This window comes from Homo sapiens, chromosome X, assembly GCF_000001405.40.
Source record: "Homo sapiens chromosome X, GRCh38.p14 Primary Assembly".
NCBI classification, from domain to species: domain Eukaryota; kingdom Metazoa; phylum Chordata; class Mammalia; order Primates; family Hominidae; genus Homo; species Homo sapiens.
Genome location: NC_000023.11, coordinates 135,740,393 through 135,754,157, shown reverse-complemented (window position 1 = coordinate 135,754,157; position 13,765 = coordinate 135,740,393). Strand labels below are relative to the sequence as shown.

Genomic DNA, 13,765 nt, shown 5'->3' with positions numbered 1-13,765 from the left:
AGACCGCAGGTGCAGGACTAAGGAAGCTTCTCTTTTTCTGGGCCCCAATCCATGCTAGCAGGGTTTGAGGCACCTGTCAGTGGGTCACAGTACTGCACAACATTGAGGTATATACTAAGACAACATCTATTATGGAACTCGTTTCTGTGTTCCTTATTTAGTAGTAAAAAAGGCAAGATGTAAGAACATGCTGTTCACCTTATAACCACCATCTTGACATGCCAGACTACTAAGTTGTTAGACGTTTCCCTCAGGTAGAAGACCCCTGACGTTGTTTGGGAATTATTTCTCACATAATGTCTTGTAAGTGTGTCGCTAATGTGTCTGGATTAGTTGCTACCTCCTGCGCAGTCAGCATAATGTCATCAGTGCAAAGAATGGTGTTACATCTGGTTTAAGAGAAAGGTGGTCATGGTCCCTAAGGACTCGTTTAGGATATAAACCTTGAGAGTTGATATAAGGTTGAAAGAGGAGATGATAGTACATTGCTGTCCTTTCTAGCTGGACCCAAACTCTTCTTTATGACAACTACTGAAAGAAAACAAAACATTCACCTAATCACGATTATATATCAGGTTCCCAGGGATGTCACAGTTGCCGATGCAACAAAACCACCTGCAGTACAGCAGCTGCAGTTGGAACAACAATTTGATTAAGTTTATGGTCCGATCTCGGCTCACGGCCACCTCCACCTCCCGGGTTCAAGCAATTCTCTTGCCTCAGCCTCCTGTGTAGCTGGACTATAGGCACACACTATCACACCTGGCTAGTTGTTTGCATTTCTTAGTAGAGACAGGGTTTCACCATGTTGGCTAGGCTAGTCTCAAACTCCTGACCTCGAGTGATCTGCCCACCTCAGACTCCCAAAGTGCTGGGATTACAAGCGCGAGCCACCGCGCCAGGCCCCGGCTATTTTTTGTATTTTTGGTGGAGCTGTGGTTTCGCCATGTTGGCCAGCCTTATCTGGAACTCCTGACCTCAAGCGATCCACCCGCTTCTGCCTCCCAAATCCTGGGATTACAGGCGTGAGCCACTGTGTCCAGCGAAAACTTCACTTTTAAGTGAAACGCAGAAACAAAATCAGATAATCAGAAAATGAGATACTGCGTGTTCTCATTCATATGTGGGAGCTAAACAATGGGTACACATGAACATAAAGGTAGAAACCATTGACTCTGAGGACTCCAAAAGGGAAGTGGAGGGGAGGGAGGGAGCGGGTTGGAGGGTTGAAAAACTACCTATTGGATACTCTCTTCACTATTTGGGAGATGGGTTCACTAGAAGCCCAAACCCCGGAATTATGCAATTATATCCAAGTGAGAAACTTGTACATGTACCCGTCTTGCATCTATAATTTTAAAAAGGTTAAAAAAGAAAGCTTCAGTTTTAAATCTTAACCAGATATACATGAAAAGGATTACTATACTTGGACACCTTTACAGGTTTCTATGTTAGTTTTTGGTGTTAAAGCAGAAAACTGTTCCTCGACCACTTTATTAATTGTATATCCTCTTTGTACAAACATCCAAAATAGAAGACTGTCACTTTTGGTTCTGTAACTGTGATTCTTTACTGCAGTCTTCTACAGCTTTTACAGAATTAATGGTCCCTAGTGTCTGCCATTCTCCAATTGCCCTGGGTGGCGAAATGGCTGCCGTAGTAAACTTTTCACTGATAATTAGAGGTTTTGGAAACATGCAGGGCTTGTTATTTAAGAGTGACTCCATTTGGGCATTCCGGTGGATGGCCTACAGGTTTTCTTGCAGAGTATACTAGAGTCTCCAGAATGAATAACCCTAGGAACTTGAGGAACTAGTGCTTTCCAGAATTTTGGAAGCCAAGATACAAATATTGAAGAGTCCAGTCCCAGTTATAATCACCATCAGAAGAGAAAATGTCTGTGCATTCAATCAGTGTCTAATTGCCATCCCAGGTGAAGGCTAGACCCATATCATGCTCTGTGGATTTCCAGGGTCTTTTTTCATTTTTCATTTTTGTCAGTACCTAGTGGGTGTATATATTTATGGATTACATGAGATATTTTGATAAGGCATACAATGTATAATAATCACATCAGGGTAAATAGTCTCCATCACCGCAACCATTTATCCTTCCTTTGTGTTACAAACAATCCAATTATACTCTTTTAGTGATTTTAAAATTTATAATAAATTATTGACTCTAGTCACCCTGTTGTGCTATCAAATGCTACATCTTACTCATTCTACCTAACTATATTTTTGTACCCACGAGCCATCCCCGCTTCCCCCGACACCCCCACTACTCTTCCCTGCCTCTGGTAACCATCCTTCTACTCTCTATCTCCATGAGTTCGGTGGTTTTAATTTTTAGCTCCCACAAAGGAGTGAGAACATGTGAAGTTTGTCTTTCTTTGCCTGGCTTATTTCACTTAACATAATGACCTCCAGTTCCACCCATGTTGTTGAAAATGATGAGATCTCATTCTTTTTTATGGCTGAATAGTACTTCACTGTGTATATGTACCACATTTTCTTTATCCATTCATCTGCTGGAGGACACTTAGGTTGCTTCCAAATCTTAGCTATTGTGAATGGTGCTGCAACAAACATGGGAGTGCAGATACCTCTTCCATATACTAGTTTCCTTTCTTTTCCAAGTTTTTATATGCACTTCATCAGCAGTGCTGTAGAAACTGCAGCTGGCAATGTAAGTCCCTGGAAAGAGAACATCACACCCAGGGCACTCTTGCCACTCTGATAGCTACATCTTTTTGAAGACATGGTAAAAGTCTGGGGTAAAGTAGTGGTTGTTCTCTAGCAAAAATCGAACACCAGCCTACCCCTGAAGTATTTTGAACCTTTCGCATACAAAATGCAAATTACAATACCAAAGTCATTTGATGTGGCCAAATGGGTGGGGATTCTTGGGATTAAGCACCCCATCTTCAAAGCTGCATTCTTCTTCAGGTACCTGAGGCAATGTCTGGGGTTATTACGGGGAAACTCATTGGGGTACCAACAAATGCTGAAAGGAGAGAACATTGGTAGAACCGGACAGCCTCACAGTGGTGGCCTTGGACTGTAGCAGTTGGAGCTGGCTCTGGCAGCTGCCCTCATCTTGGGTCCTGGGGTGCCTGCCCATAGGCTCTCAGCTGCCCTGCACTGCCGGGGCTCCGCATCCTCGCCTGGCAGCTGCAGCTCATCAGACTAGGAGCTGCCAGGGCTCAGTGTCACCTCGGTCCTCCCAGTTCAGCATCCAGGTCTGTCCTGGGAGAAGCCCTGCCTGAGCCCCACCCCAGCCCTCTTTGTTCCCTGTGCTGCCAGCGGACTTGCCTCCTGGGCACACTCATCCATCAGTGGCCAGGGGCCTGCAGGACCCAGCCAAGCAGCCTCTGCCCACTCCAGCAGTGACTGGCTGGGGTGGGCTTTTGCAGATGGCATAAACTCCATATCTCAGTTATCCCTGAGGTGTCCCTGTGGATGGGCCTGCCACACTCAATTGAGTCCTTTAAAAGCAGACAGAGATGGGCGTGGTGTTTCACGCCTGTAATCCCAGTGCTTTGGGAGGGTGAGGTGGGCAGACCACTTGAGTCCAGGAGTTCGAGACCAGCCTGGCCAGCATAGTGAAACCCCTGTCTCCAAACACAATTGTTTTTTTAAATTAGGTGGGCGTGGTGGTGCGTGCCTATAGTCCCAGCTACTTGGGAGGCTGAGGCGAGAGGATCATTTGAACCCAGCAATTTGAGGCTGCAGTGAGCCATGATCACATCACTGCACTCCAGCCTGGGAGACAGAGCGAGACCCTGTCTAACAAACAAACAAACAAATGAACAACACCACTGATGCCCCCCCACCCACCCCAATAAAAACACATAAAAGTCGACAGATTTCTTCACCAGAGAGCAGAAACAGAAGTACAAGATAGTCAAAGGACAAGAGGGATTTGATTGGGCTTTACTGTTTTGAAGATGTAGGAGTACACAACGAAGCTATGCTGGAGGGCCTAGGAGCTGAGAGTAGTCCCTGGCTGTCACCCAGTAAAGAAACCAGGACCTCATTTCTACAACCTTAAACACAGGAATAGATCATCAATGTCCTCAGACATTAAGGAAATGGAAATCAAATCCACAAGGAGATACTACCTCACCTCACTGGGATGAATATTAACAAGTAATTAACAAGTGTTATAGAGGAGAAATTGGAACCCTCCACCATTGCTGCTGGGAATGTAAAATGATGCAGCATCTTTGAAAAATAGTCTGGCATTTCTTCACAGAATTGATAATAAAGTTATTGAACAACCTGCAAATTCCACTTCTAGCTAAATATCCAAGAGAAATACAAGCATATATCCACAGCAAAACTTGCACACAAATATTTGAAGCCAGATCCAATATTATATTTTGTACACCTTCATACCCCAGCCTTAAGAACTACTCTCACACATTTACCAGAGACTACTATATTGGAAAAATCATACAGTTGTTTCGGTGACTATCACACCTCTTGACAGGGCTCAGTGTTTAACTCACTGTTTTGGCCAGCAGGAACTTGAATTTAAGTGCAGGTTAAGAAGCAATGAGGGGTGCTGGTGTTAGTTTCAGAGGAGGAGCAGCGGTGCCCTTCAAGGCAACGATCTCAGGTGAGACCCTCACAGCTCTTCGGGTAAAGGGGAACCTCGGGCAGGAGGAGTGGGAGGGCTGCTTCTATTGACAAAGACACCCGGAGAATTTAGGGATTTGCAATGGACCGAATGTTTGTGTCCCCCGCCACATTCATTTATTGAAATCCTAACTCCTATTGTGATGTTATTAGGAGGTGGAGCCATTGGAAGGTCATGAAAGTGGAGCCCTAATAAATGGGAATATTGTCCATATAAAAGGGACCCCAGAGAGCTCTCTGTGCCCTGGCAACATGGAAGAGGGCCCTCACCAGAACCTGACCATGCTGGCACCTTGATCTCAGACTTACAGCCTCTAGAAATGTGAGAAATACAATTTCTGTTGTTTGTAAGCTACCTAGTATATGGTATTTTATTATAGCAGCCCTAACTGACTAAAACACAGTTCTAAGTGCCCAGATTCATTGGCATAAACCTATACGTTTCCATTCCAGTTTTCAGTATCTGATTTCTCCCTATTAGTGCCCTAACATTAGCAGAAGAGACCCTTTTGAGGTTGTGAATTCAATTTGTGCTGTAATTCAGCCACTGACAGGAGTAGACTTTGGATTTCATTTTCCCAAATCTTGGCCTGGTTGCTATAGGAGATGACAGTTTCTTTCAGGCCAGTCATAGATGTTATCAGGTCCTTCCTTCACACCTTGAGCAAGAACTTTAACGACTTCTTTCTTCATGTTCTACAGTACATTAGAAACAACAAATCAACCACTCAATACTCCTTATTTTGACCAAACCATTCTAAGATATCAAAGCACAAGAAAGCCAACCAGGTCAGGGCCGGTGGCTCATGCCTGTAATTCCAGCACTTTGGGAGGCTGAGGCAGGAGTATTGCTGGAGCCCAGGAGTTAGAGACCAGACAAAAAATTTACAGTTAGTCACCCAGGGACTTGTCTTTTATAGGCACTTGATTGTGGGCGGCAAGCCACCCAGGTGCCGAGGCAAGAGAGTGAGGACACGAGCAGTTCCAGTAGAATAAAATATAAAATAAGAATAGTTATACCAGATATAGATCTTAGATATTATTATATATGAATATCATTAATCATTAGTTTGTAGCAATTACTCTTTATTCCAATATTATAATAATCCTCACTCTATAATCATAACCTAGGAAAAACCAGGCCATACAGAGATAGGAGCTGAGGAGACATAGTGAGAAGTGACCAGAAGACAAGAGTGCGAGCCTTCTGTTATGCCCGGACAGGGCCACCAGAGTGTTCCTTGGTCTAGCGGTAACGCCAGTGTCTGGGAAAACGCCCATTGCCAAGCGGACCGTGGTCTAGTGGTAGCATAAGTGTCAAGGAAAAACAACCACTACTTAGCAGACTGGGAAAGGGGAGTCTCCCTTTCCCCGGGGGAGTTTGGAGAAGACTCTACTCCTCCACCTCTTGTGGAGGGCCTGACATTAGTCAGGCTTGCCCACAGTTGTCCGGAGGCCTAACCGTCTCCCTGTGATGCTGTGCTTCAATGGTCACGCTCCTTGTCTGCCTTCATGTTCCATCCTGTACACCTGGCTCTGCCTTTTAGATAGTAGTAGCAAAATTAGTGAAAGTACTAAAAGTCTCTAATAAGCAAAAATAATGGCATAAGCTGTCTCTCTCTCTCTGTCTCCTCTCTCTCTCTGCCTCAGCTGCCAGGCAGGGAAGGGCCCCCTGTCCAGTGGACACGTGACCCACATGGCCTTACCTATCATTGGAGATGGCTGACTCTCCTTATCTTGCCCCTTTGTCTTGTATCCAAGAAATATCAGTGCAGCCTGGCATTCGGGGCCACTACTGGTCTCTGCGTCTTGGTAGTAGTGGTCCCCCAGGCCCAGCTGCCTTTTCTTTTATCTCTTTGTCTTGTGTCTTTATTTCTACACTCTCTCGTCTCCACACATGGGGAGAAACCCACCGACCCTGTGGGGCTGGTCCCTACACTTAATTATAGGACTCTAAAGGTGTAAATTCGAATAATTCTTTTGCTATTTCTTACTGTGCACTACCAGTGCTCATTTTACTACTGCAAACTGTTGGGGTGATCAGACCCAGCACCAGGTCATGGGGGCGATGAAGTCTGGCAGAGTCAAAGGATTGAGAAAAAGTTTGAGAAGGAAAGTGGGACCAGGGGACCATCATGATTGTGGAGGCTGCGAAGGCCCTGAGCTCTGGGAGCCCACACTATTTATTGGTAATCCAACAAAGAGACAGGTGGTGAGAATGTGGGGGTCAAAAAGGCAGGTGCATGATCTACAGCTGTGACACTTTACCATTTATATGGAACATGTTCTGCTACTTGAGATAATGGGAATAGAATTGATCTAGGAGCCTAGGAAGGCTAGAAGCTAGGAGCAAGCAAGTATAGACACATTCCTGAGGACATTATGTCAGACATGCAAGCCCTGCCTCAGTTTTTTTCCCAACACTCAGCTTTTTCCCAATATACCCCGCTTCTCTTTATTGTAAAAGAAATGGTATCATTATTACTATCATTATTACTAGCTATCATTATTACTAGCATAAAAGGTGGCCTCTTTTAATTCTGCAAGTCAATTGCAGGTTGTGCAGCCCTTAATTGCCAGTTGGTGATCCAGCTTCATTTTTCTTAGCCCTTATGCAAACTGGAGTCACTCTGATTTGAATGCTTCCCACATATCTCCCCTTTCCCTTTTACAAGAGGACCCTTAATTCTAGGGGTTGCAGAAGGATGAAGGTCCGTCTTCTGTAACTTTTTCATGCTGAATAGGGGCAATGATATTCCTGCCTAACTGTTAGGGTCTCTTGTATTCAGGGTAGAGAGGAGCTGAGTCAGAAAGCACTGGTCCATTAAGCATCGTGACTCTGGTCAGTCTTCGTTCCATCTTCACATTCAGATTCAACTGGCTCATGGCTCGTACTGGGGGAACCTGGTCCATGGTTGGGATCCATGGGTCCCTCCAGTCTCCTGTTCCATGGTTGTACACATCTTGAGGGCATCCACATGCACACCCTCACCCCCATGTTAGTAAATCTACTGAAACAGAAGCAAAAACCTTTGTAGCTGTAGCTGGGAGGCCACTGAAAATGAGAAACAGGCCCCTTCTAACAGAAGGCACAGGGAAAGCAAATCGAGGCTTTTCAAACCTTCAATTCACACTGTACAGGTGGGTACACTAGATGCTGTGGCTCATGATAGATCTTCAGATGTTTGGTGGGCACCCACACAGGCACCTGATTGTCACCTGGAGAGATACAAGCAAATCCTCTTCCCCATATAATTATCTTTCCTTTTTTCCCAGTTCTTTGTATGTGCATCCCTCCACCATATATCTTCTCCAGCCTTTTTATTTTCCTTTTGTCCTGTCAGGTGTTGTACTGCTGCAGTTATGGGTTGATCTTTTTGTACATTAAAAAAAAATTAATGTTAATAAAGCTAGATGCAATTGCATATGTGGTATTTTATATTCCTGGTCTCCTGCCTTCTGCTTTTGTATTTCAGTTTTTAAAGTACGATTAGCTGTTTCCACTATTGCCTGTCCTTGTGAGTTATATGGAATACCTGTAGTATGGGCAATATTCCATTGTTGAAAGAATGCTACAGTATCCGGGGCCGTTATCAGCTGTGATTTTTTTCTGGGATTCCCATAACAGAAAAGCAAGATAAAAGATGTCTTTTAACATGAGCTGTAGCCTCCCCTGTTTGACATGTGGGCCAGATAAAATACGAATAGATATGTACTGAAAAATGAGCAAAGGACAATTTTCCAAAAGCAGGAATATGTGCTACATCCATCTGCCAAATGGAATTTGGAGATAAATCTCTAGGGTTAACTCCTGTTCCTTGATGTGACAAATGCAGGACTTGGCAGGCAGAAGAGTGTTGCACAATTTCTTTAGCTTGTTTCCATTATAGACCATATCTTTTTCAGCAGCATTAAGATGGGTTAAAGAATGAAATGTTTGTGCATCAGCAAAAGCTGCAGACACCAATGCATCCTCCCTTTGATTAAGTTTAGTTAAAGGGCCAGGGAGGTTAGTATGTGCTCTCATATGAGTGATATAGAAAGGTGAATGCCTTTGTTGTACTGCTTGCTGTAAAGAATGAAATAAAAAATTAAGTTGTTCAGTCACATTTCGAATTAAGGCACAATCAATATTTTGTTTGGCTTGCACTACATAAGCTGAATCAGAAACAATGTTTACTGGCTGTTTAAAAGTTTTTTTTATTTTTTTATTTTTAATTTTTTAATTTAATTTAATTTATTTTTATTATTATTATACTTTAAGTTTTAGGGTACATGTGCACAATGGGCAGGTTTGTTACATATGTATACATGTGCCATGTTGGTGTGCTGCACCCATTAACTCGTCATTTAGCATTAGGCATATCTCCTAATGCTACCCCTCCCCGCTCCCCACACACCACAACAGGCCCTGGTGTGTGATGTTCCCCACCCTGTGTCCATGTGTTCTCATTGTTCAATTCCCACCTATGAGTGAGAACATGCGGTGTTTGGTTTTTTGTCCTTGCAATAGTTTGCTGAGAATGATGGTTTCCAGCTTCATCCATGTCCCTACAAAGGACATGAACTCATCATTTTTCATGGCTGCATAGTATTCCATGGTGTATATGTGCCACATTTTCTTAATCCAGTCTATCATTGTTGGACATTTGGGTTGGTTGCAAGTCTTTGCTATTGTGAATAGTGCCGCAATAAACATACGTGTGCATGTGTCTTTATAGCAGCATGTTTTATAATCCTTTGGGTATATACCCAGTAATGGGATGGCTGGGTCAAATGGTATTTCTAGTGCAGCACACCAACATGTCACATGTATACATATGTAACAAACCTGCACATTGTGCACATGTACCCTAAAACTTAAAGTATAATAATAAAAAAAAGAGTAGATGTGACACTGAAAAAAATAAAATTTCAAATGTCATTAATAACAGTACCAAAAACATAAAATATTTAGGAATAAATCCAATGATGTGCTACAGCACTACATAAAAATTATAAAACATCACTGAGAGAAATTCAAGACTACAGTAAATGGAGAAAAAATATTATTTCCATGGAATGGAAGACATTATTAAGAGGCTTTATTTTTAATTCTCCCAGAATGATCATAGCAATCTTATTTAAAATTCCACCATGTAAAAAAAAATTTCCAAAAATTGACAAGCTGATAATTATTTTTAAAAGTATATGGACATTTAAGATTTGGAAAACCCCAGGCAATCTTTAAGAAATAGAAGTGGCCAGGCGTGGTGGCTAACACCTGTAATCCCAACACTCTGGGAGGCCGAGGCGGGCAGATCACGAGGTCAGGAGTTTGAGACCAGCCTAGCCAACATGGTGAAACCCCATCTCTATTAAAAATATAAAAATTAGCCGGGCATGGTGGCAGGCACCTGTAATTCCAGCTACTTGGGAGGCTGAGGCAGGAGAATCGCTTGAACCTGGGAGGCCGAATTTGCAGTGAGTGGAGATCATGCCATCGCACTCCATCCTGGGCAACAAAAGCAAAACTCCATCTGTAAAAAAAAAAAAAAAAAAAAAAAGAACAGAAATAGAAGTAAGTTGGTAGATATACACTATTAAATATGAGATTTACTATAAAGGTAGAGTAATTAAAACAGTGTGATATTGGAGCAATGACAGGCAAATACACAAATGGAAGAGGACACAGAGGCCAGAAACAATGTGGAAATACAAAATAGCTAGATTTACCACAGGAGAGCTCCTGGAAATCATTGTGGAAAGGACAGTGCTTTTAATAAATGCACTTGATAAATGTGATAAATGCAGGGAAAATACAAACCTTGAATCTTACCTCATCCCACTCCAAAAACTTTATTGAAGATGGATAGACAATCTAGTAAACACTTAAGATATTATCTTCACAACTATAGAATAGGCAAAGATGTTTTTAACGAGGATAAAAAAGCATTAACCATAAAGAATGAATTGTTTGCCGGGCGCGGTGGCTCACACCTGTAATCCCAGCACTTTGGGAGGCTGAGGTGGGCAGATCACCTGAGGTCAGGAGCTTGAGACCAGCCTGACCAACATGGAGAAACCCCGTCTCTACTAAAAATACAAAATTAGCTGGGCGTGGTGGTGGGTGCTTGTAATCCCAGCTCATCGGGAGGCTGGGGCATGAGAATCACTTGAACACGGGAGGCAGAGGTTGCAGTGAGCTGAGATCGTGCCATTGCACTCCAGCCTGGGCAACAAGAGCAAAACTCTGTCTCAAAAATAAATAAATAATAGAATGAATTGTTGAATTACACATAATTAAATGGAAAACTTCTATTCCTCAAAAGACACTATTAAGACAATGAAAAAACGAAGTATATTTGTAGATTATATATCATACAGTATATATGTATAGGTTATACATGTAAATATATATTAATCACACACACACACACACATATACATCTGTATATACATCTGACAACAACTGAGTGGAATCCAGAATATATCCAGAACTTCAAATCAATTTTCAAAAAGCAAACATCTCAATAAAATCTGGGGAGAAAAGCTGAATATGCACTTCATAAGAGTCATACTCAAATAGCTAATAAACACCTCAAATATACCTGGACTCTGACTGTACTCCATTCCATGAAAATTTATTTGAGATGAATGGGAGATCTAGAAGAATACTTAGAATATTATCATCATGGCATTGGGTGAGGCAAAGATGTTTCTTAAAATAATAAAAAGGAATAGCCATAAATAAGCACTGATGAATAAAATTAAGAGAATCTGTTCATCTAAAACACATTATTAAGATAGTGTAAAAGCAAAACAGATTTGTAGAAGATACTAAAATTGTATACATATTTGTCTATATGTACATATATGCCTGTGTATAACTGAAATCCAGAATATATGTAAACCACAAATCCATTTTTAAAATACAAACATCTCAATAAAATTTGGGGGAAAAGACCTGAAAAGGAACTTCCGAAAAGCTGTAGTTAAAGGACCAATAAACACATAAAAAGATACTCCAAAAAAAAAAATCAATAAATAGGTGGGCGCGGTGGCTCACGCCTGTGATCCCAGCACTTTGGGAGGCCAAGGGGGTGGATCACTTGAGCCCGGGAGTTGGAGAACAGCTTGGGCAACGTGGTGAAACCCCGTCTCTACCAAAAAATACAAAGATTAGCCGGGCTTGGTGGCCTGCGCTTGTAGTCCCAGCTACTTGGCAGACTGAGGGAAGAGAGTCAATTGAGCCCCGGGAGGTTGAGATTGCAGTGAGCCGAGATCATGCCACTGCACTCCAGCCTGGGCAACAGAGTGAGACCCTGTCTCAGAAGACAAACAAAAATCAATAAATAAAAACAATTTTAAAAAAAATAGTGCTCAATCTCATTAATCGGCAGAGAAATGCAAGTGTAGACATAAAGAGAGATCACTGCACACCCATCAGAGTGGCTGGAATGAAAGAGTAACTGTACAGCGATTGAGCGAAAGTGGCACAGCTGGAACCTTCGAGTATTTCTGGACCCCGGTTTCCACACAGACACCCAGGGCTATGGCCCAAAGGTCAGACAGAACCCCAAAGAAGAGCTCCTTCAGGACTGAGATCAACCAACCGAGGAAAAGCACTCCACCCTAGGGCGAGACAGAACTCCCAAGGTCAGGTGCCCTCCCTCATGGCTGACACAGAGCTCCCCGAGTCCCACCATAAGCTTAGAGAATCCAAAGAACAGCACTCCACCCTCCCGTGGCACCGAGAGAGAGAACCCACAGATAATATTATTTTAAAACCCAGCACCAAGAGAAAGCATCTGGTAAGCGTCCCCATCAGGGATAAACAGATCCAAAGAAAAGCGAACACATCCTAGTTGAGAACGAGCGACATCCAAGGACAAATGCGCCCCACGGCCGACATCAGCACCCAAGGAAGAGTCCCTCGCGGGCTGAGATAAAGCCCCCGATGGAGAGTAACCCCACAGGGCGACGATCATGCATCCAGAGAACAGTCACCCCCACCCCAGCTCCTGAGCACAGACAGAGTGCCCAAGGCAGAGTCCCCACTCAGGGCTGTGACTGAATGGGGAAGAAACATCCCCTAACCCGAGTCTGACAAAGGGAACCAAGGCAGGGTCCCCACCCCCGGGCTCAGGTCATTTCAGCAGGAAAAGTCCCTCACATCATCGAGAGGGAGCCCCCAAGAAAAGCCCCCTGGCCCCACAACATAGCCGAGACAAGGTGCCCAAGGAAAACGCTCTCCCACGGCTAACACAGGCACCCACGGTGGTGCCTCCAGAGCGGAACCACATCACGCAGGCTGCCGTATCACACATCCGACACCCGATGCAGTGCAGCCCAGAAAAGACACTTTCCAGGGCGAAATTAAAACATCCAGAGAAAAACCGCCCCACTCACAGTTCTGAAGTCCTGACCTTGCCGGAGGAGCGGCGGCGGCACCTCACAAAATGGCAGCGAAAATTGCACCACTGGCTGAACTTTCTAGAAACCTGCCCTCTGAGAGTTGTGGGAAATCTGCCCCCTAGGGCACCTGCGAATGATGTGCATGGGACGCATCTCACCAGAAGCACAAATCCCATACAGCCCAAGAGGGATGGAAGGGAAGCTGCCCACCACCACTTGTCCTGCCCCAGCCGAACACTGGGAACCTGTTGGGGTCGCCAGAGTCCCGAGGTGAAGCCCTCACGCTTTGTAGGACTTCGGGCGCAAGCCAGAAGAACCAGGAAGCACAGCCCTCCCATTCTCTGACTCTGGCGCCCTCTACAGTCGGCCTTCAGTAACAACTGCACAGCTAGGTAGGGAGAGGAACGCAGAACTTTCCCACACAGCGGGATGAAATCGCCTGGGTAACATAGCCAAACCATGGCTGTACAAAACAGCCAACCAACCAAAAAGAAAAACACAAAAATTAGCTGGGCGTGGTGGCGCGCACCTGTGGCCCCAACTACTCAGAAAGTTGACGTGGGAGGATCACTTGAACCTGGGAGGCAGAAGTTGCCATCAGCCGAGATCGTGCCACTGCACTCCACCTTGGGCAACAGAGCCAAACCCTGTCTCAAAAAGAATGGGGTGAATTTGTACCTGACCGCCAGTAAGTTCATGGATGGCACACTATATTAATGCACAAA

At 44.0% G+C, this 13,765-nt stretch overlaps 1 pseudogene, besides 1 other annotated feature; it reads right to left on the bottom strand.

Moving 5' to 3' along the window:
* Positions 1,374–1,971, bottom strand: MGAT2P2 (MGAT2 pseudogene 2; annotated as a pseudogene).
* Positions 13,166–13,285: an enhancer, noted in NCBI's record as "active region_29986". NCBI's record gives its function as "activates an Ori minimal core promoter by ATAC-STARR-seq in GM12878 lymphoblastoid cells {active_cell/tissue: GM12878}" and the evidence as "EXISTENCE:reporter gene assay evidence [ECO:0000049][PMID:35858748]".